The sequence below is a fragment of the Homo sapiens genome, chromosome 12, assembly GCF_000001405.40.
Source record: "Homo sapiens chromosome 12, GRCh38.p14 Primary Assembly".
NCBI classification, from domain to species: Eukaryota; Metazoa; Chordata; class Mammalia; order Primates; family Hominidae; genus Homo; species Homo sapiens.
Genome location: NC_000012.12, coordinates 110,367,514 through 110,389,584, shown reverse-complemented (window position 1 = coordinate 110,389,584; position 22,071 = coordinate 110,367,514). Strand labels below are relative to the sequence as shown.

General features: G+C 46.8%; 1 protein-coding gene and 1 long non-coding RNA gene across 9 annotated transcripts in view, besides 1 other annotated feature; both read left to right on the top strand.

The window, feature by feature from the left end:
* ANAPC7 (anaphase promoting complex subunit 7) overlaps positions 1-16,685 on the top strand; it is a 30,809-nt gene extending 14,124 nt beyond the window's left edge. For 4 of the 8 annotated variants that reach the window (NM_016238.3, NM_001385209.1, NM_001385208.1 and 1 more), the window contains exons 4-11: positions 962-1,073; positions 1,693-1,846; positions 3,116-3,258; positions 6,625-6,742; positions 7,637-7,833; positions 11,968-12,192; positions 13,369-13,519; positions 15,252-16,685. In NM_016238.3, the coding sequence (NP_057322.3) occupies positions 962-1,073; positions 1,693-1,846; positions 3,116-3,258; positions 6,625-6,742; positions 7,637-7,833; positions 11,968-12,192; positions 13,369-13,519; positions 15,252-15,441 (1,290 nt within the window). In that variant the 3' untranslated portion in view covers positions 15,442-16,685. Of the gene's footprint in view, positions 1-961; positions 1,074-1,692; positions 1,847-3,115; positions 3,259-6,624; positions 6,743-7,636; positions 7,834-11,741; positions 11,881-11,967; positions 12,193-13,368; positions 14,112-15,251 lie in introns of those variants that run through there. The other 4 variants (XR_007063088.1, NM_001385212.1, NM_001385211.1 and 1 more) reach the window with 4 other exon arrangements.
* Positions 4,785-4,844: an enhancer, noted in NCBI's record as "active region_7001". NCBI's record gives its function as "activates an Ori minimal core promoter by ATAC-STARR-seq in GM12878 lymphoblastoid cells {active_cell/tissue: GM12878}" and the evidence as "EXISTENCE:reporter gene assay evidence [ECO:0000049][PMID:35858748]".
* Positions 16,686-16,984: 299 nt separating the features above from the next.
* LOC124903014 (uncharacterized) lies at positions 16,985-19,763 on the top strand. The gene is made up of 2 exons (XR_007063457.1): positions 16,985-18,814; positions 19,226-19,763. It is a non-coding gene; the product is annotated as an uncharacterized LOC124903014 (long non-coding RNA).

Sequence of the window (22,071 nt, the reverse complement as noted above, 5' to 3'; positions counted from 1 at the left end):
AAAGTTACATATTTAAATTACGCTAAAATGCAGCTGTCTGCACTCACTGGATTTAAATAGTGTAGCTGATTTTTGTAGCATTACTTTAGTGAGTTAGTACCTACGGGCCAAAGCCTTAAGTGTTAGAAAGGCTAGAGTCTAGCCACAAGTCGAATTGTCAAAGAAAAGCCAAGTATTATACTTCTTTATCTGTCTTTCTGTATCATTTCCTTATTAGGAAAAACTGAGCTGATCCTTCTTAACTAGCTATGTCAAGAGTTTCTCACTTTCTTATGTGAGATAGTTCATCTTCTGTTTTAAGATCAAGAAAGAATCAAGTTAACTAGCGTTCTCTACCATTTCTTAAATGAATGTTATTCCAGTTTCCAGAGGGCAGCGTCTTTTGTTCAGATATTACTGGGCCTTGTGGGAAGGTAATGTGACTTTCCTCTTAGGGAAGGCAGGAGCTAGGGAAAGGAAGGGTAGTAATTTCTTTTCTTTTCTTTTTTTTTTTTTTTTTTTTTAAGATGGAGTCTCACTCTGTAGCCCAGGCTGGAGTGCAGTGGCGTGATGTCGGTTCACTGCAAGCTCCGCCTCCCGGTTTCACACCATTCTCCTGCCTCAGCCTCCCGAGTAGCTGGGACTACAGGCTCCCGCCACCACGCCCAGCTAATTTTTTTGTATTTTTTAGTAGAGACGGGGTTTCACTGTGTTAGCCGGGATGGTCTCAATCTCCTGACCTCGTGATCCACCCACCTCGGCCTCCCAAAGTGCTGGGATTACAGGCGTGAGCCACTGCACCTGGCCAATTTCTTCTTTCTTTTGAAGAATGGGGTCAGTCTGCCTTTATTTGCACAGGGTTGTGGGTAGATTTTCCAGTAAAAAGTAAATAACTGGTAATGAAAATTAGGACTTTTTCATGGTGAGAGATTTTCTTTGCAATATACGCTTATTTTGCTATCTGTTATTTGTGTTTGTACAGATAAACATGATGCTGGCAAACCTGTACAAGAAGGCTGGTCAGGAGCGCCCTTCAGTCACCAGCTATAAGGAGGTGCTGAGGCAGTGCCCATTAGCCCTTGATGCCATTCTAGGTAGAGATATTTCCTGCCTGTTTTCATGGCATGTTTACTGTCAAAGATAGTAGTTCTCAATCTTGCCTGTACATTAGAATAACTTTATTTTTTTTAAAAGTTCCCCTGAAGAGAGTGATTTAGTAGGATTCCTGTTGTCACATATTCAATCAAGAAATACTTAATTATGGTTTTTGGCCGGGCATGGTGGCTTACACCTGTAATTCTAGCACCTTGGGAGGCTGAGGTGGGTGGATTGCCTGAGCTCAGCAGGTCGAGACCAGCCTGGGCAACATGGCACAACCCCGTCTCTACTAAAAATACAAAAATTAGCCAGGCATGGTGGCGCGTGCCTGTAGTCCCAGCTTCTCGGAAGGCTGGGGCATGAGTATCGCTTGAACCCAGGAGGCAGAGGTTGCAGTGAGCTGAGATTGTGCCACTGCATTCCAGCCCAGGGGGACAGAACAAGACACTGTCTCAAAAAGAAAAGAAATACTAAATTATGGTTTTTCTCTCATGCATCGCTCAGAATAGGGAAGCAGTTGCCTTTTAGCCAAGGGAAGATGTAGCCCGTTGCTCCTTGCATGTGGAAGAGAGATATCGTGCCTTACTTTCTTTCTTCTGCTTTCTGTTGGTTTAGGCTTGTTGTCCCTTTCTGTAAAAGGGGCAGAGGTGGCATCCATGACAATGAATGTGATCCAAACCGTGCCTAACTTGGACTGGCTCTCTGTGTGGATCAAAGCGTATGCTTTTGTGCACACTGGTGACAACTCAAGAGCAATCAGTACCATCTGGTGAGAGCCACAAAGTTAATTCAGTGTTCTTGAGGCCCTTTGCTTGTCTGGAAGTCTGATGTATCTGAAGTAGCAAAAAGAAAAATGAGATGCTTTGCTGTTGGTGCTGCAGCCAGTCTCTGGGATGTGTTAGTCTTTTATACTGAATGGTCCCAAATGTAATCATGTAATCATCTCTGTTGGAGACCTGTAAAAATAGAAATCTGACTGAGTTTAGCTCTGTGCCTGCACAGGTAGTAACCCTTGCAAAGCAAAGCAGGCTACCTTGGTGTGTCATTTTTTTTTTTTTTTTTGAGACAAGGTCGGTCTCTCTCTCTCTCTCTCTCTCTCTCTCTCTCTCTCTCTCTCTCTCTCTGTCTCTCTCTCTCTCTGTCTCTCTCTCTCTGTCTCTCTCTCTCTCTGCCTCTCTCTCTCTCTCTGTCTCTCTGTCTCTCTCTCTCTCTCTCTCTCTGTCTCTCTCTCTCTCTCTCTCTCTCTCTCTCTGTCTCTCTGTCTCTCTGTCTCTCTCTCTCTCTCTCTCTCTCCCAGGCTAGAGTGCAGTGGCGCAGTCACAGCTCAGTGTAGCCTTGACCTGTCAATCTCCCGGGCTCAAACCATCCTCCTGCTCAGCCTCCTGAGTATCTGGGACTACAGGCGCATGCCACCACACCCAGCTAATTTTTGTATGTTTTTGTAGAGATGGGATTTCACCATGTTGCCCAAGCTGGTCTTGAATTCCTGGGCTCAAGTGATTCTCCCACGTGGGCCTCCCAAAGTGCTGGGATTATAGACGTGAGCCACCATGCCTGGCCTTGGTGTATCATTCTTCAGCCTGGAAGAAAATCATTTTGCACTCACCAGAAGCTTGGTTTATTGCAGTGTCTAACCTAGCTTGCCTGCTTAGGACTAGGGATTTTCTTTATATTCAGATAAAGTTCAAGGACAAGAAGAGACTTGGGCTTGTGTTATGCAAAGTCGTTTACTTGAGTAATAAATAGGTGTCACTTGTGAATGACATTACCTTTAACACCATGTAGCGTATGTTGTGTTCTGAAGAACTGCAACCACAGAGTTATTTGTTGGTACTGAGAGACTTCTGCTTTATTCTTTGTTTTTGCTATCCTGTCCTATATAACTTTTTTTAAAGTCATAAGCTTAAAGTTTTTTATTACGAAGAATTTTATATTTATGCAAAAGAAAATAGTATCTGTATGACCAATCATCCAGATTCAGCAACTAAGAGGATTTATAATAGATTTAAAGGTTCAATGTTTAATAAATATCTTAAAGTTCACTAGAGAAAAAATCCTTATTGCGAGATAACGTGGACCTATTGGGAAGCTTGGCAGATCTGTACTTCAGAGCTGGAGACAATAAAAACTCTGTCCTCAAGTTTGAACAGGCACAGATGTTGGATCCTTATCTGATAAAAGGTAAGTAATTCTTGGGGCAGGAAGACAGTGGCTGTTGTTGGGGGGGATCAGAGATAATAGGGAGAATATGCAGCATTAATACTCGATACCAAGTTTCATAGAAATGGTGTATAAAACTTATACTAGTCTTTTACTTTTTTTAGGTCATGACACATGTCTCTAACGCTTAGGTAATACCATTTGAGCAGCTGTTTTTGCTTGAATTCAAGTGTCTTCTCCCCACAGATCATTATTTGGCTTTTTTTCTTTTGAGGGGGTCATAGCTCCTCCTTATGACTTATAAATTTATGGTGTGCCTGACTGAGAATTTGGATGGCATCCCTAAAACCATAATATCCTTTTAGGGAATTTTGTTTTGCCATGTCCTTAGTATAATTAAAAAGGAATAAGAAAGGGATAAGGTGATTAAAGGCAGTAATTAGGCGTGAACAACAGAAAAATCACTGATCTTGAAAAAGATTGCAGGTGAAGGGTAATCTTCACAGGGACCTCCAACAGATGGCAGTTAGGACACTGGCAGTGAGTTCTCAGGAATAGTGGGAAATAAGGTCAGATAGATATGCTGTCTATTTGTAAAGGTCCAAAAAAGGCCATCAGAAAAACAGGGCCTTGTGACAATAAACAGTCTTATGAGCTCTTAAGCCAGGGGAATGATGGAGCTGGGAAGGGGCCATCCCAAGCGTTTAGATGAGGAAGCAGATCTAGAAGGATGGATTTGTTTGCACAAGATCTCCCCTCACCTCAAGTGCTTATTCCTCTTCTCCAAGCTGCCTGCACCCATGATGAAAATGATGTTTTAGAAATACTAGTCTGGCAACAGCTGGCAGCTTGGAATGGCAATGGCAGCTTGGAATCTCAGACCCAGGCCCAGGGGCTAGCAGGAGCATTGCAGTAATCTTGGCTTGAGAGGAATTTTCATGGGAATCTGAAGGGATAGCAAGGGATGGAAGAGAATGGTGGCAAGAGATGGGTAACAGTGAGCATAGGTCCCTTTTTATAGAATGTGGGTGAGAATAAAGCGGGGGCTGCGGAGAGGCAGTGATTTTTTATTTGTTTGTTTGAGACGGAGTTTCACTCTTGTCGCCCAGGCAGGAGTGCAGTGGCACAATCTCTGCTCACTGCAACCTCCGCCTCCTGGTTAAAGTGACTCTCCCACCTCAGCCTCCCGAGTAGCTGGGATTATAGGCGCCCGCCACCACACCCAACTAATTTTTGTATTTTTTTAGAAGAGACGGGGGTTTCACCATGTTAGCCAGGCTGGTCTGCAACTCCTGACCTTAGGTAATCCACCCGCCTCAGTCTCCCTAAGTGTTGGGATTACAGGCCTGAGCCACTGCACCCAGCCCGAGGCAGTGATCTTTAATGAACTGCATTCTGGATAGAACTACAAGCTTTTTTCTGGAATAGGCCAACTTTTTCTGAGACTGATTGGCTTTTCAGCAGTGTATTTCTGATGGTCTAGAACTCTGGGAAGAGAGACCTTAGTTGATGCCTTTTTTGGGCCTTTTCTGGTTGGGTTAGGGTAGCTGTGTATCACACCACAGGATAGAAGGACAAGCACTTCCTGAAAATAGCAGGCTTTCAAATTGTGAGGTAGGTTGTTCTGCTCCTTTGGTTTTTTGTTTTTTTTGTTTTTTTTTGTTTTTTTTTTGTGAGACAGAGTCTCACAGGCTGGAGTGCAGTGGTGCAATCTCGGCTCACTGCAACCTCCACCTCCTGGTTTAAGCAATTTTCTGCCTCAGCCTCTTGAGTAGCTGGGATTACAGGTGTGTGCCACCACGCCTGGCTAGTTTTTGTATTTTTAGTAGAGATGGGGTTTCACTATCTTGGCCAGGCTGGTCTTGAATTTCCACCTCGGCCTCCCAAAGTGCTGGGATTATAGGCATGAGTCACCGTGCCCGGCCTCCTTTGGTTTTGGTTTTGGTTTTGTTGTTAGAGACAGGGTCTCACTCTGTCACTCAGGCGGGAGTGGCACAAACATAGCTCACTGCAGCCTTGACCTCCTGGGCTCAAGCAATCCTCCTGCCTTAGCCCCCTGAGTAGCTGGGACCACAGGCATGTGCCACTGTGCTTGGCTAATTTTTTTTTCTTTCTATTTTATTTTACTTTATTTTATTTTATGTTTTAGACATAGTCTTACTCTGTTGCCCAGGCTGGAGTGCAGTGGTGCAATCTCGGCTCACTGCAACATCCGCCCTCTGAGTTCAAGCAATTCTCCTGCCTCAGCCTCCCGAGTAGCTGGTATTACAGGCGCCTGCCACTGTGCCTGGCTAATTTTTTGTATTTTTAGTAGAGACGGGGTTTCACCATCTTGGCCAGGCTGGTCTTGAACTCCTGACCTCGTGATCCACCTGCCTCAGCCTCCCAAAGTGCTGGGATTACAGGCATGAGCCACCGCGCCTGGCCCTTCTTTTTTCTTTTTTTTTTCTTTTTTTTTTTTTTTTTTTTTTTGAGACGGAGTCTCGCTCTGTAGCCAAGGCTAGAGTGCAGTGGCACGATCTTGGCTCACTGCAACCTCCGCCTCCCTGATTCAAGCGATTCTCCTGCCTCAGCCTCCTGAGTAGCTGGGATTACAGGCACACGCCACCATGCCCAGCTAATTTTTGTATTTTTAGTAGAGATGGGGTTTCACCTGTTAGCCTAGTCTCGAACTCCTGACCTCGTGATCTGCCCTCCTTGGCCTCCCAAAGTGCTGGGTTTACAGGCATGAACCACTGCACCTGGCCACTTGGCTGATATTTTAAAATTTCTTTAGAGACAGGGTCTCACCATATTGCCCAGGCTGGTCTTGAACTCCTGGGCCCAGGTGATCCTCCTGCCTCTGCCACCCAGAGTGCCAGGATTACAGGTGTGAGCCACCACGCCCAGCTGGGTTTTGCATTTTCTTTTTTTGAGACAGAGTCTCAGTCTGTCACCCAGGCAGTGCAGTGGCGTGATCTCGGCTCACTGCAACCTCTGTCTCCCTGGTTCAAGTGATCCTCCTGCCTCAGCCTCCCAAGTAGCTGGGATTACAGGCGCGTGCCACTATGCCCGGCTAATTTTTTGTATTTTCAGTAGAGATGAGGTTTCACCGTGTTAGCCAGGATGGTCTCGATCTCCTGACCTCGTGATCCACCTGCCTCGGCTTCTTAAAGTGCTGGAATTACAGGTGTGAGCCACTGTGCCCAACCTGGGTTTTGCATTTTAATAGTCACTTTGTAGGAAACTGGAAATAGTAGTTGGAGGAGCCTGTGATGGTGGAAAGGGCTTAGCCCCTGCAGGAGCTGGGGCCTCAGCATGGGGTCTGATGTTGGGTGCTACTCCTGTATGTGGGACCCCTGCTTCTCTTCTTAAAACACCTCTTCTCACTATGTCCTTCTCTTCTAGGAATGGATGTATATGGCTACCTACTGGCACGAGAAGGGCGGCTAGAGGATGTTGAGAACCTTGGATGCCGCCTTTTCAATATCTCTGATCAGCATGCAGAACCGTGGGTGGTTTCTGGGTATGATTATGCATTCTCTTTTCTCCCCAGTTGTCAGTAGATTAAGAGATAATGGTTGCTCTTGAAGAGAATATAAATTGAAAGCACAGGTTTAAGAGGTAATCACCTGGACAGGCATGGTGGCTCATGCCTGTAATCTCAACACTTTGGGAGACTGAGACAGGTGGATTGCTTGAACCCAGGAGGCAGAGGTTGCAGTGAGCCAAGATCGTGCCACTGCACTCCAGGTGGGCGGCAGAGTGAGATTTTGTCTCAAAAATAAATAAATAAAAATAAAAAGAGGTAATTACTTGAGGCCAGAAATTTGAGACCAGCATGGGCAATGTAGCAAGACCCTGTCTCTATAAATATATATATATATATATATATATATATATATATTTTTTTTTTTTTTTTTTTTTAAAAGGATAATCAGCCCTGGATTCAAATAATAGTTTATGACTCTGGATGCATTATTTACCTATCTAGGTCTGTATTCTCATTTGGAAAATGGGCTAATAACCTCTCCTTCTAGGGTTAAGCATTAACTGAGTTGGTGAATGCATTGTGCTTAGTACTGAGCCATCAGTGATGGGGCCAGAAGATGCTCCTTTGTTTATTAACCTGGCTTTACAAATTCTCTGAATGCCTCTCTGCTAATAACTAATATCCAGATCATAGGTTCTTTTTCATAATTTTTCTCTTCCATATCAAGATTTCCCCTTAAAAATAAATAGTGGATTTTTTGGTTTGTTTTGCTTTTCTACTAATATCTTAGGTTAAAACTATAAGTGTGGTTTGGAATAAGGATTATGTTCAGGGCCTTCAATATGATTTTTGGATCAACTTTCTTTGTAGTCTTCTCTTGGATAACTTCTGGGGTTTTTGTGTTTTTTTTTTTTTTTTTTTCTCCAGCTGTCACAGCTTCTATAGCAAACGCTACTCCCGGGCCCTCTATTTAGGAGCCAAGGCCATTCAGCTGAACAGTAATAGTGTTCAAGCTCTGCTACTTAAGGGAGCAGCACTTAGGAACATGGGCAGAGTCCAAGAAGCAATAATCCACTTTCGGGAGGCCATACGGCTCGCACCTTGTCGCTTAGATTGTTATGAAGGTAAGAAAGAAAACATAGGTGAATGGTGTGAATCCGTGGGTGTGGCAGCAGCCCTCAGATGGAAGGTTTCATTAGGCCAGCACTTCCCAAACTCTGTTAGAATAATCTGGGGAAGCTGGCCGGACGTGGTGGCTCACACCTGTAATCTCAGCACTTTGGGAGGCCGAGACGGGCAGATCATGAGGTCAAGAGATTGAGACCATCCTGGCCAACGTGGTGAAACCCCGTCTCTACTAAAAATACAAAAATTAGCTGGGCATGGTGGCTCACACCTGTAGTCCCAGCTACTTGGGAGGCTGAAGCAGGATAATCACTTGAACCTGGGAGGCGGAGGTTGCAGTGAGCCAAGATTGCGCCACTGCACTCCAGCCTGGCGACAGAGCAAGACTCCATCTATTAAAACAACAACAACAACAACAAAAAAACATCATCCGGGGAAGCTTTTCAATATCCTGACGTTGGGTCTCTCCAGTGTAGATGGAAATACATGGAATTGGGAATAGACATCGATATTTTTGGAGGTCCCCAGGGGTTACCAATGTGCAGACAGGTTTGGGAACCACTGCATTAGGCATTTTACATTTATTTAGGGCTTTCACTGGATTTGTCACCCCATACTTTCATAATCCATTTTTTCTGATTTTTTTTCTGGTTTTTGGTGAGGGTATAGTTGGGATGGGGTTTTTTTTTTTTGTCCTCCCACCGCTCGCCCCCATCCAGTGTGGCGTACTCATTAATATGAATCTCTCTGTGTCAGACACCATGCAAGATCACTTAGTTTGCCTATTTTTTTTCTCTTACTCCTCTTTTTTTTGAGACAGAGTCTCGCTTTGTTGCCCAGGCTGGAGTGCAGTGGCATGATCTCGGCTCACTGCAGGCTCCACCTCCCGGGTTAATGCCATTCTCCTGCCTCAGCCTCCCCAGTAGCTAGGATTACACCTGGCTAATTTTTTGTATTTTTAGTAGAGACAGTGTTTCACCGTGCTAGCCAGGATGGTCTCAATCTTCTGACCTCGTGATCCGCCCGCCTCGGCCTCCCAAAGTGCTAGGATTACAGGCGTGAGCCACCGTGCCCGGGTCCTGTTTTTTTTTTTTTTTTTTGAGACAGAGTCTCGCCCTGTCACCCAGGCTGGAGTGCAGTGGCATGATCTTGGCTCATTGCAACCTCCACCTTCCGGGTTCAAACCATTCTCCTGCCTCAGCCTCCCAAGTAGCTGGGATTATAGGCGCCCACCACCACACCCAGCTAATTTTTGTATTTTTTAGTGAGATGGAGTTTCACCATGTTGGCCAGGCTGGTCTCGAACTCCTGACCTCGTGAGCTGCCTGCCTTGGCCTCCCAAAGTTCTGGGATTACAGGCATGAGCCACCACAACCGGCCTATTTTTTTTATTTTTATTTGAGATAGAGTCTCACTCTGTCACCCAGGCTGGAGTGCAGTGGTGCAATCTCAGCTCACTGCAACCTCCACTTGCCGGGTTTAAGTGATTCTCCTGCTTCAGCCTCCTGAGTAGCTGGGATTACAGGCATACACCACCACACCCAGCTCATTTTTGTATTTTTAGTAGAGATGGGGTTTCGCCATGTTAGCCAGGCTGGTCCCGAACTCCTGGGCTTAAGTGATCTGCCCAATTCAGCCTCCTAAAGTGCTGGGATTACAGACGTGAACCACTGTACATGGCCTGTTAGGCCTATTCTTTTTCGTGGCCATCTTACCTTGGGCCAGAGTTAGTACTCGTGGGATAACTCCACATCCATATGATAGTGTTGGCTGTGGGAATGGGTCTGTTCATTGTGACCTCCAGAGTGGGCACAATCAGGGTCCAACTTTGTTTTGTTATGTAATATTTTAAGTTCATGTGAATTGACCCTGGGAGTTCAAAGGAGCTGTGCCAGTTTCAGCAACGTTTGGTGACTCAGTCACAGACATTAAAATAGATCTTACAAGATGCAGTTCCTCCAAAACATATTTTTATAAGCATTTAAAAATAAACCTAGGAGTCTAGGAGTGATTTGCTCTTAACAGGAAGATGAGTTCAAATTTGAGAAATAAAATTTGGATGTTGGGAAAGAGAACAAATCTGCTTATATAGCCAGAGAGCTATGCCTCTGGATTTGTTGAGGGGGAAAGAGTATTGTCTTTGTTCTGAAAGAAGCTCTAGCAAACCAACCATTGATTTCAGATTAACTTCTTGATCCTGAAACTGTAACTTCCCTGTCTTCCCAGCTGCTGTTAATCATGTTAATTCCATTATACTGCATGCCTATTTCACCAGAGCTCAGGGATGCGGTTGAATAGTCCGTCCTATAATATTTGGACAGCGGATGTTTCCCAGTTGGCCAGTGAGGCTTCTTAAGCTGCCATTTGGAGATTTAGGTCAGGGCAACTCTGACTACACCCTTTGATATTTCTTACAGTTTCCAGTTGGAGCTTCCTTCTTTTGCTGGTAGAGATTTAGGTTAGGCAAGTGCATTCTGTTTTTTTCTGAAGTTCCAGTAGGGCTTTAGCAGGGAAGTAAAACTATTCAGTAAGTAATTGCAAACAACTGTATGTGGAATCCAACATGTTGCCCTTAAGAGTTAGGTAATTGGCTGGGTATGGTGGCTCATGCCTGTAGTCCTAGCACTTTGGGAGGCTGAGGCGGGTGGAACACCTGACGTCAGGAGTTCGAGACCAGCCTAGCCAACATGGTGAACTACCATCTCTACTAAAAATAGAAACAAATTTAGCCAGGCATGGTGGTGCACGCCTGTAGTCCCAGCTACTTGGGAGGCTGAGGCAGGAGAATTGCTTGAACCCAGGAGACATGGGTTGCAGTGAGCCGAGATGTCACCACTGCCCTCCAGCCTGGGTGACAGAGCAAGACTCCATTTCAAAAAAAAAAAAAAAAATAGTTAGAGTTAGGTAATTTCTGGTTAAGTAACCATAGTGTGTGGAAGGGTGTGCATGAATGTTATAAATGCTGCTAGGGTGGAGGAGTATGCAGAGAAAATCTGCCAAGGATTGTGTGGGTTTGGGGTTTTAAGCTGTTTTTTTGTTTTGATGAGCACTTTGTGCCAAAAAGTTATTCCTCTGTTCTCCTCAACTTACTGGCATGAAGAGTTGAGAGTTGACTCTTCTCAAGGTGGCCTCCTCATAGGGCGTCTCGCTGTGGGTGTGGAAAGAGGCAAGGGCTGCCAGTTGCAGTCTGTTTGGTGCATGTGGTAAGTACTGTTCATCTCGTTTAGGGAAGCCCTCAGCAAGTGCCTTTTGAGACAGCTGTTACGTTTCAAATAAAAGAGTCTTTCTCCCTAAGTTGCTTGACAATAAGTCCTTTATTTGTCAAACTGTAAATTCACTTTAAGACTCTAGGAGCCAGGCCAGGCACGGTGGCTTACGCCTGTAATCCTAATACTTTGGGAGGCTGAGCTGGGCGGATCACCTGAGGTCAGGAGTTCGAGAGCAGCCTGACCAACATGGAGAAACCCCGTCTCTACTAAAAATACAAAACTAGCCGGGTGTGGTGGTGCATGCTTGTAATCCCAGCTACTCGGGAGGCTGAGGGAGGAGAATCGCTTGAACCCGGGAGGCGGAGATTGCAGTGAGCCGAGATGGCGCCATTGCGCTCCAGCCTGGGCAACGAGAGTGAAACTCTGTCGCAAAAAAAATAAATAATAAAATAAAGACCCTAGGAGTCTTCCATCTTAAACCTAGCCCTACAGGTGACCGAATGCAGCTGGAGAATAACTGCTTGTTAAGAGGCAGCAAAACCTTGGGTTTTGTTGGGAACATCATCTCTCACTACTTTGATCTCTTGGCCATATGACAGACTAATCATTAGTGTCGCATTTATTCTTCCAGTGGTCAGATGGGGTGCTCACATGCTGCAGGTTCCTTACATGTGCTTGTTTCCTTCCCTAAACTGAAGGTGCCTTTGAAGGCAGTCTTTTTCTACATCCATCAAGTTCTCTGGGGAAGAGCACTTCTTAGCTATTCCATCAACACTCTTGCCAGTCTAATCTCACCATCAGTTTCCCGTGGCCTGCCCTTTGTCTGAAACTTTGAAGGTTAGCAATTTGGAGAGCTGTCAGAGTGGAAGCATGGGTTGGAATGGTAATGGCATTGAATGTCTTCACGTGTTTTACTTTTTTCAGGTCTTATCGAATGTTACTTAGCCTCCAACAGTATTCGAGAAGCAATGGTAATGGCTAACAACGTTTACAAAACTCTGGGAGCAAATGCACAGACCCTTACCCTTTTAGCCACCGTTTGTCTTGAAGACCCAGTGACACAGGAGAAAGCCAAAACATTATTAGATAAAGCCCTGACCCAAAGGCCAGATTACATTAAGGCTGTGGTGAAAAAAGCAGAACTACTTAGTAAGTGTGTCTTATTTTCTGTCCTGTTCATCATTAATTTTTATAAAACCTGACCTCAGTTGGAGCCCCTTGTCCCAGCTAGTTACAGATGACTAGACAGGTGTGTGCCTTTTGCAGCAGGTCTGAGCCTGCTTGGATTGGTTTATATTTAGCCCAACCAAACGTAGCTGGCTTAGATCTGCTTGGCTTGGTTCCAACCACCTATAATTGGTTGGTATCTATTCGGCTCACTAATTTTTTTTTTTTTTTTTTTTTTGAGACGGCATCTTGCTCTGTCACCCAGGCTGGAGTGCAGTGGTGCGATCTCAGCTCACTGCAACCTCCGCCTCCCGGGTTCAAGCAATTCTTCTGCCTCAGCCTCCTGAGTAGCTGGGACTACAGGCGTGCACCACCATGCCCAGCTAATTTTTTTATTTTTTATTATTTTTTTTTATAGTAGAGATGGGGTTTCACCATATTGGCCAGGCCGGTTTCGAAATCCTGACCTTGTGATCCACCCGCCTCGGCCTCCCAAAGTGGTGGGATTATAGGTGTGAGCCACCGTGCCCAGCCTCGGCTCACTGTTATCTGGTTTGAGTTGTCCTGAATTAGTTGGAGCTGAATATAACTAACTGATTTTAGCCATTTTGAGTGGAGCTATCTGGATGATTTTATGACTTCCCGTTTGGCCCTTTTTTTTTTTTTTCAGTCCTGATTTATGATAAACTCATAATTTGGTTCATTGAATTTGGGCTAGTTGGCAAAGCAGTTTGGCTTTTTAAAGTTAAGAGCCCATTTAAAACATTATAATTCAAACTGCAAATTTCTTTTTTTTTTTTTTTTTTGAGATGGAGTCTCGCTCTGTTGCCCAGACTGGAGTGTAGTGGCACAATCACGGCTCACTGCAAGCTCCGCCTCCTGGGTTCAGGCCATTCACCTGCCTCAGCCTCCCGAGTAGCTGGGACTACAGGCACCTGCCACCAAGCCCGGCTAATTTTTTGTATTTTTAGTAGAGACGGGGTTTCACTGTGTTAGCCAGGATGGAAAATTTCTTAACTGAATAGGGCTTCAGGTGTGCTTGCCCTCGCTTTGTGTTGCACCAGTGTTCTCTTGAGGATGTCTGCAAAGAGATGGTCAGAATGGTAGTTGTGGTTTTTTTGTACATGACTTAAGTGAGGGTCTTTTTTATTCCCCCAGGCAGAGAACAGAAATATGAAGATGGAATTGCTTTGCTGAGGAACGCACTGGCTAATCAGAGTGACTGTGTCCTGCATCGGATCCTAGGAGATTTCCTTGTAGCTGTCAATGAGTATCAGGAGGCAATGGACCAGTATAGTATAGCACTAAGGTAGGCACTAGCCTCCCTTGGGGGAAGGCCACTGAGGAGGGTAGAGGAGGCAGTGAGCTGTGTCACAGGAGTTATGGAAACACACACACACTTTGTGTCCATGGTTGAAAGCAGAATAATAATAGTAATGGTAGAAGAGTTATTTGTGAATTCATGACTTCTAAAAATTTTTTCTTAAAATATATTAACAACATTAGAGAACTGTTTCACTCATAACCATCCCACACCACTATAACATCTGTGTTCATTTGTATAGCTCATCTTCTGTCCTTGCCCACACACACATATTTTTATAGGGCTGTACCTAGTATATATTTTATATTCTTCTTTTTCAAATCAAAGTATTGTAAGTACTTTCCCATGTTTCTATCTACTGTAGTCATTAAGAACTTGAGGTCTGAAGTTTTGAATACTACCTTCACCACCTGTGATCTTGGGCAAGTTACTAACACATTTCCTTGTCTATATCTAGCTACCTTATTAGATATTAAATGATCGAATGAGGGTTAAATGATTATTTCATGTAAAGCTCTTAGCCCTGTGCCTGGTACATAGTAAATGCTAAATAAATAGTGGTATTCTTACTGTTTAATACAGAAGTGGTTTCTTTGAGGGTTGTCTGTGTGTCTGTAAGGTTATGGTGAAGGGCTGTCTTTAATAGAGTCTGATCACATTCAATTGTTCAGCACACAGTTGAGCACCACTTGTGTGCCTAGCATCTCAGTGACAACTGGAGATGCTATGTTTCGGGAGCTGTCAGTCTCAGACATGCAGACTGGCCATGCCATGTGCTAAGGGCTTTCATAGTAGTCTGTAGAAGGGAAGGTGGGAGTCCAGAGGGCAGGAGCCCTGGGTATGGGTGAGAGCTTCAGAGTACAGGATGTGGAAGGCTTCAACCAGGAGACGAGGAGATGTTACAGATCGGTCCGCATTTATATCGGTAGAAACGGTGCCAACATGGGTTTTAGCTGCTTTTTAGAATCTCAGAAGCAAGTGAGAAAATAAAATATCAGACTTCCATTAGAGGTGGGGTTTGCTAGGCGTGGGACGCCTGCTGGCTTGGGTGATGGTCACTAAGGCAAGAGGAAAGATTGCTTAGGAGGCAAATAAATGAATGTTCTAGAGGCTCTGAACTTTGGGGGTGGGGGTGGCGTATGTACTGACACTCAGCTGCTAAATGTGAATGCTTGGGTAGGGGTAGCCTTGGGTCCTGGGGTCTGACCTAGGTGTTTACAAGTCTGTTCCATGGTACAGCGTGATGTTTTTGGTTGGCTCCTGAAATGCTGCTATGTTTAATTACATCATAAGAACATGGGACACCTATACTCAGAGAAATTCCTATTTTTTGTAACCCTGTAGCTCTAAAACCCAACTTTCTGGGAATTCCATTTGAATTTACCTGGTAATGTTTGTTTGCCACTTTTTCATTTGTGTTATCTGGTAGCCGCCTCTAGCAGAATGCTAGGGGTAATAGGTATGAAAAAGTTTAAGAAATTTGTGGAGAAAAACTCAAATTGAGAACTCTAAAAATTAGGAAGAGACTCCTTTTTGCACTTCTGGTGGTGGACTCCCTCAACCCAGCCTTGGAAGCCTGAGTTGTTTGGAGAGGCCAGGCTTTAGCACATTTTTTGGGACTGTGTGGTCATTTCACTGCCGGGCCAGGGAGATGACGAATCAGCCAGCAAGAGCAAGGCAGAGATTCAGGCCTCTCCTTTGTTTTGTTGTCCCCTAGTTTGGACCCCAATGACCAGAAGTCTCTAGAGGGGATGCAGAAGATGGAGAAGGAGGAGAGTCCCACGGATGCCACTCAGGAGGAGGATGTGGACGACATGGAAGGGAGTGGGGAAGAAGGGGACCTGGAGGGCAGCGACAGTGAGGCGGCCCAGTGGGCTGACCAGGAGCAGTGGTTCGGCATGCAGTGAGGGGGCGGCAGCTCCATGGCCGCAGTGGCCTGCCCTGCTCTGAGCACTTCCGTGGACTGAAGGAACCGTAGGAGCCTGCTCTCAGAAGGACAATGATTCAGCATGTGATTGCAGCAGGGGTCTCTGCCCCCTCGCTCCCAATTCCTAGTCGTGACTTCATTTCTAAAACAGAGCCTGACCAACCTTCCATGTATCTCCATCCTCCCCTGCTCCAGCCAGGGAGGACTGAGGGAGTGCCCCGAGACCCACGCACATGTTGGGGCTTCTGGGCCAAGAGTACTTTTTATATAACTAATTTCTAAATCCAAAAGCTCAAGGAATAGACAGTGTTCTGTGACATGGATTGGTTTGAAGGAGTTACCCACCATCCCAGCACGATAATGTCATCTCCCAAGTTGGATGGCAGCACGATCTGGCCCTAGGGAGCTTCCTGTTCCCAGAAGTCATTGTCCTGGGCTATCCAGATGTCCCTAGTAAATCTTGCTTCCTTCTGCAATGTTAGTAATGCCTTAAGCTGACAGTTGCTATTTTGCAGAACAGTTTTCCTCTTTGCTTAGCTAGTAACTTGCCTCTGAGCCTGGGCTGATCTGAGAAACAGGTGTGACAAGAGCATGAACCAGAGGTGCACCTGGGGCAGTTCCCTAATAAAACTGGTTTGTACAGTCATGGTGTTGGGGTGATCAGAATGGAAGCCCTTTTCAAAATAGACTCTTAGTATTTTTGTCTTATTCGCAATGCATTGATTCAGCCCCAGAATTATTTGCCAGAAATAGACTTTCTTCCCCTGGTGTTGGGAGCCAGGAGGGTTGGAAAGCTCAGGAACCCTGAGCTGGTTCATCTGTTTGCATATTGGGTAGGTTAATTTCCCTGGAGCCTGAGAGTCTTTGGCCAGATTTCAGCTGCGTCTGCCTGGCTCTTTTGCTGCAGCTGTGAGATTGGGGTCTGGTTCCAGCAGTCTGTCACTGGTCAGCCTGAGTATCACACCCTGAGCTCTGGGGCTGGGAGTTTCTTCCCACACCCTCTCCCTTGTGCCTTAAGTTGCGATGGCTCTGAGTATACAATTAATCGGAGGTGAGGGGTGGGTGTCACAGCTAATCCCAAATTCAAAAATTAGTCCAAGGTGCTGCAAAATATAAATTTGATGTCAGTAGAAAGTCGTATCCTAAAATGTAAAAACTGTAAGTGTACAGTAGTTAATGAGCTCAGAACATCTGATAACTGCAATTTAAAATGGGCAAAAAGTTTCTATGAGTCTTTCAGTCTAAGACCCAAAGCCTGCGCAACATCACTTGATCTGAGCCACTTCTAAAGAGACATATAAGGCTAGGCGTGCTCACACCTGTAATCACAGCACTTTGGGAGGCCGAGGCGGGTGGATCACTTGAGGCCAGGAGTTTGAGACCAGCCTGGCCAACATGGTGAAACCCCCGCTCTGTTAAAAATACAAAAATTAACCGGGCATGGTGGTACACACCTATAATCCCAGCTACTCAATACTCAGGAGGCTGAGGCAGGAGAATCACTTGAACCCAGGAGGTGGAGGTTGCAGTGAGCCAGGATCTGCACTGCACTCCAGCCTGGGCGACAGAGACAGTGTTTAAAAAAAAATAAAGCCCCACAGATAGTTGGGGTCACACCAGGTGAGTGTGCGGCCAGTAGAAGAAGCTGCCTGCCCCTTGGCCTAGGCATGCTGTCCAGGATGCAGCCTCACTTCATGGGCTTCCTCAGCTCCATGACCTGTCATACTGTGATGAGAGAGAGGCGATGCCTCTTTTCCTTTCCCCTGACTCCAGGAGGAAGCCCAGCCCCACCGCGCAATCTCATCTCTGCATGGCAGGCTCACCACCGCACTCACATCCACTGGATCAGGGTCCCAGAGCCCAGGCCCCATGCATTGCCCTCAGCTGGCACCCTCCCACCATCCCCTTCCTTGACATGCCCCTCAGCCCTGCTGAGAGCCCCTGTGCTCTCCAGGCTCCTGCAGCCCAGCACCTGCTAGGACGGATCCTCATTCTCTGCAGCTCCAGCCCCAGGGTGACAGCCAGGTTGGAAGAGGCGGCTGAAGGTGTGAAACCACCTCACACGGGATGGAGAAAACATTCGGTCGACATCAAAGAGTGGTGCTCAGAGGGTGCTGAAGCTGTCGCTTGGCACTGCCACTGTCACTCTTTCACAAACCCAAAACCTCAAGGGCAGGGAGCTCCAGGAGGCAGGGACAGAACCAGGCTGCTCAGCCCTGTGTCTCTCCTGCCGAGCCACCTGCCTGGAGACCAGGCACCTGACCAAGGACAGCCCCCAAATGCCCAGTCACCACAAGTTCTTTCTGGGTTCTGGAGTCCCACACAGCCAGTATGGGGGTGTTTTAAACAGTCATTTCTCCACCTTCCAGATTGTTCAGAGACCACCTGGGTCTAAAAAGACCCCCCTGCCCCTCAGAACCCATGGGCTGCTGGGGCAGTTAGCTATGCAGCCCCTGCTGCCTCCTGGGGTGAGGACTAAATGAGTCCGTGCGGCGTTCAGCACGTCACCCTTTGCGACATCCTCACGGGGGAATGCCAGCTGGCCAGGCCTCCCTGGGGAGCTGGGGGTGGTTCTGCACTTCTGGAGCCCTCTCGTCTCTGAAGGGCCCTCAGCCAAGCAGGGAGGCGGGCTCTGGAGTCGAGGTGAGCCTTGCCTTCAACAGAACCTCCCATTTTTCACTTTTCAACCTCTGCTGGGCTCCAGGGACCTGGTAGGTATGTACCCTACTCATGGCTGATGGCAGGAGCTCTCCCTGCAGCCACAGCTGGGGGGCCACACTCCTGCCTCTGAATTCCAAAAAATGAGGCCGGCTTTTGCCCAAATCTGCAATCCCCAAACTAGAGCATGCATCTCAGCGATGCAGGTTCCCAGGCCCAGCACCAAACTTTTATTGGAATCCAGAGGCCTGGCCCAGGCCCAGTGGTCTGCAGCTTTCACTTCCCACCCTGACTTCCTATTCTATGCAGGTGTTCCCTGGAAAAGTATTGAGAAACCTGCGAGAGGGGAGCTCGAAGTTCCCAACAGCTGCAGGCCTGACCCCAGAGGGCCCTTGGGAGTTAACTCTGCAGCTGTCCGTGGGTGGGAGGAACCGGCCTCCAAAGGCCTCACCTGTGGCTTCCTGCGTTCCCAGCCCTACACTGGCTTACCTGTGGCAGGCCAGGGCCTGCGCGGAGCTGCTTCCCAGAGCTTAGGTGAGCTGTCCCCGTGAGCAGCTCTCTGGGGTTGTGCTCAGGCCTGCGTTCCCTGCTGACGACAGGCAGTGAGTCCAGACTCCACATGAACCTCACCTCATCCTCCAGGCACGGCTGTGGCCAGGTCACCGGGAAGCCCTGCGCTGGGAGGGGCCATTGAGGTAAGTGCCTTACTAAGGTTTTCCACTTTCTGCAGGAGCCTCCCTGCCCCAGGGCAGCAGGAGGGGCCTCAGTTGCCACCTCCCGTCTTGGGGTGCAGTGCAGGTCTGCCGTCTAGACCCCTCCAGGCCTGGGCAAACAGCACCCCCGCCCAGGCCACCACCAGCCTGGTCCAGAGTGTAGGGTTTTCTCAGATTGCTGTGGAAGGTCATTGGCAGCACAGCACACGGCACCAGCAAGGTCAGGAACAAACCAAGAAGCCCACAGTGCAGCCTCCACAGCAGCCATGAAAAGAAAATATGAATTTTAAAGTAACAGTGCCACTGTGCACTGCTGGTGGGAATGTAAGGTGGCACAACCACTGTGGAGAACAGTCTGGCGATTCAGAAATTCAAACAGTACTACTACCCTAGGATCCAGTGTTCCACCTCCGGGTGTACACCCGAAGAAGTGAAAGCTGGAACGCCAAAAGATTGCACGTCCATGTCCACGCAGCACTGTCCACAGCAGCAAAAGGTGGAAACAACCCACGTGTCCTTAGATGAGTAGATAAACAAACCAAGGTGCGTCTTTCGGTACAATGGAATATTACTCAGCCTTGTAAAGGCAAGTGACACATGCTACAACATGGAGGAACTTTGAGGACATTATTCTAAGTGGTAGAAGCCAATCACAAAAGGACAAATGCTGTATGACTCCATGAATCTTGAGGTGTGCCTGGCACAGTCAGATTCATAAAGACAAAGTAGATTAGAGGCTGCCAGGAACTGGGGGGAAGGAATGACTTAGTTTCTAATAGGGACAGAGTTTCTGCTTAGAATGCTTAACAAGTTCTGGATATGGTGCGGATGGTTGCACATTTTATGTTATATATGTTTTATGACAATTAAGAAATGACCTGTAAGCCTGCCATCTGGATAACTCCAGTAAACACATCTTAATTTATGTGAACTATGGTGTGTATTTGTAATATATATGTGTTACCTAAAGTTACACATGTTTAAAAAATTCAGGCCAGGTGCAGTGGCTCACATCTGTAATCCCAGCACTTTGGGAGGTTGAGGTGGGCAGATCATTTGAGCTCAGGAGTTCAAGGTCACCCTGGGCAACATAGACCCCATGTCTACAAAAAAATTTTTAAATTAGCTGGGCATGGTGGTGTGTCCCTATGGTCCCAGCTTCAATGCACACGGGAGCTACTCAGGAGGCTGAGGTGGGAGGATTGCTTGAGCCCAGAAGGTGGAGGTTGCAATGAGCTGTGGTTGCATCACTGTACTCCAGCCTGGGTAACACAGTGACACCCTCTCAAAAAAAAAAAAAAAAAATTAAACCATGGAAGGCATAAAATTAGAAATACATCTACTTCCCAATCCACTGAATTTATTGTCTCTCCCCAAAATAAGTTTCTGGTTCTACTTTTGTAAAAATAGTTTTGTGCTTTTCCTTAACTATATATATTATAAAAAATATTCTGCCAGGCACGGTGGCTCATGCCTGTAATCCCAGCACTTTGAGAGGCCAAGGCTGGTGGGTCACCTGAGGTCAGGAGATCTAGACCATCCTGGCTAACACGGTGAAACCCCGTCTCTACTAAAAATACAAAAATTAGCCAGGCGTGGGTGGTGGTCGCCTGTAGTTTCAGCTACTTGGGAGGGTAGGGCAGGAGAATCGTTTGAACCCAGGAGGTGGAGGTTGCAGTGAACCGAGATTGTGCCACTTCACTTAAGCTGGGGCGACAGAGACCCCGTATGAAAAAAAAAATACGAGGCCGTGCTGTGCACAGGGACATTCTGTGCAGCGTCAGTGCACCCCTTAATCATCAGTACTGCAGAATCCATTCTGCAGAAGGAACAATTTCCGCAACCCTTCTGCTACTGGTGGACACTTGTTTTCCAGTCTTGAACATAATTATTTCAGTCTGTGCTGTCATGAACATATTTTGCCATAATATTCCAAGGATATGCAGAAGTCAAGTTCCTTGCAGTGAAATTCCTGGGTCTCAGATTGTGTGCATTGACATGTCTCATGGGTGCTGCCCGATTACCCTCCAACAATAACAGGTGCAAGTGCCTGTTTGCCTGCCCCTCATCAGCACCACTATCATTAAGTGCTTTCATTTGGTTTTTATTGTTTTTACCAACCTCAGATTTGATCAGTACTCCCTTGCTTTTATTTGCCTTAGCTGCTATTCTTTTTTCTTTCTTCCTTTTTTTTTTTTTTTTTTTTTTTTTGAGACGGAGTTTCACTCTCCATCTGGCACATGATTACAGGCATGTGCCACCATGCCCGGCTGATTTTGTATTTTTAGTAGAGACGGGGTTTCTCCATGTTGGTCAGGCTGGTCTCAAACTCCTGACCTCAGGTGATCCGCCTGCCTTGGCCTCCCAAAGTGCTGGGATTACAGGCGTGAACCACTGCACCCGCCTTTTTTTTTTTTTTTTTTTTTTTTTTTTTTTTTTTTTTTCCTTAAGACAGTCTTGCTCTGTCGCCCTGGCTGGAGTGCAGTGGCACAGTCTTGGCTCACTGCAACCTCCCCCTCCTGGGTTCAAGTGATTTTCCTGCCTCAGCCTCCTGAATAGCTGGGATTACAGGCATGCGCCACCGCGCCTGGCTAATTTTTGTATTTTTACTAGAGACAGGGTTTCACCATGTTGGCCGGGCTGGTCTCAAACTCCTCACCTCAGGTGATCCGCGGGCCTTGGCCTCCCAAAGCACTGGAATTACAGGTGTGAGCCACCGCACCCTGGCCCCTAGCTGCTATTTCTTTTCTTTATTTTTATTTATTTATTTATTTATTTTGAGTCAGAGTCTCACTCTGTTGCCCAGGCTGGAGTGCAGTGGTGCTATCTCGGCTCACTGCAACCTCCACCTCCCAGGTTCAAGCAATTCTCCTGCCTCAGCCTCCCGAGTAGCTGGGATTACAGGCATGGGCCACCACACCTGCCTAATTTGTGTATTTTTAGTAGAGACGGGGTTTCACCATATTGGTCAGGGTGGTCTCGAACTCCTGATCTCATGATCTGGCCGCCTTGGCCTCCCAAAGTGCTAGGATTACAGGTGTGAGCCATGGCGCCCGGCCCCAGCTGCTATTTTGTGAGTGCTCCTCTGAGACAGGCCACGAGGCATGGCCTTTGCCTACATTACCACATCTCAGCCTCACACCCCCTGAAGTTGGAGAGGTAGAATTGGCCGCTTTCACAGATGAGTGCACTGAGTCTCAGATGGACACATTAGCTGTTTTCGTCTGTCCAGAGCCTCC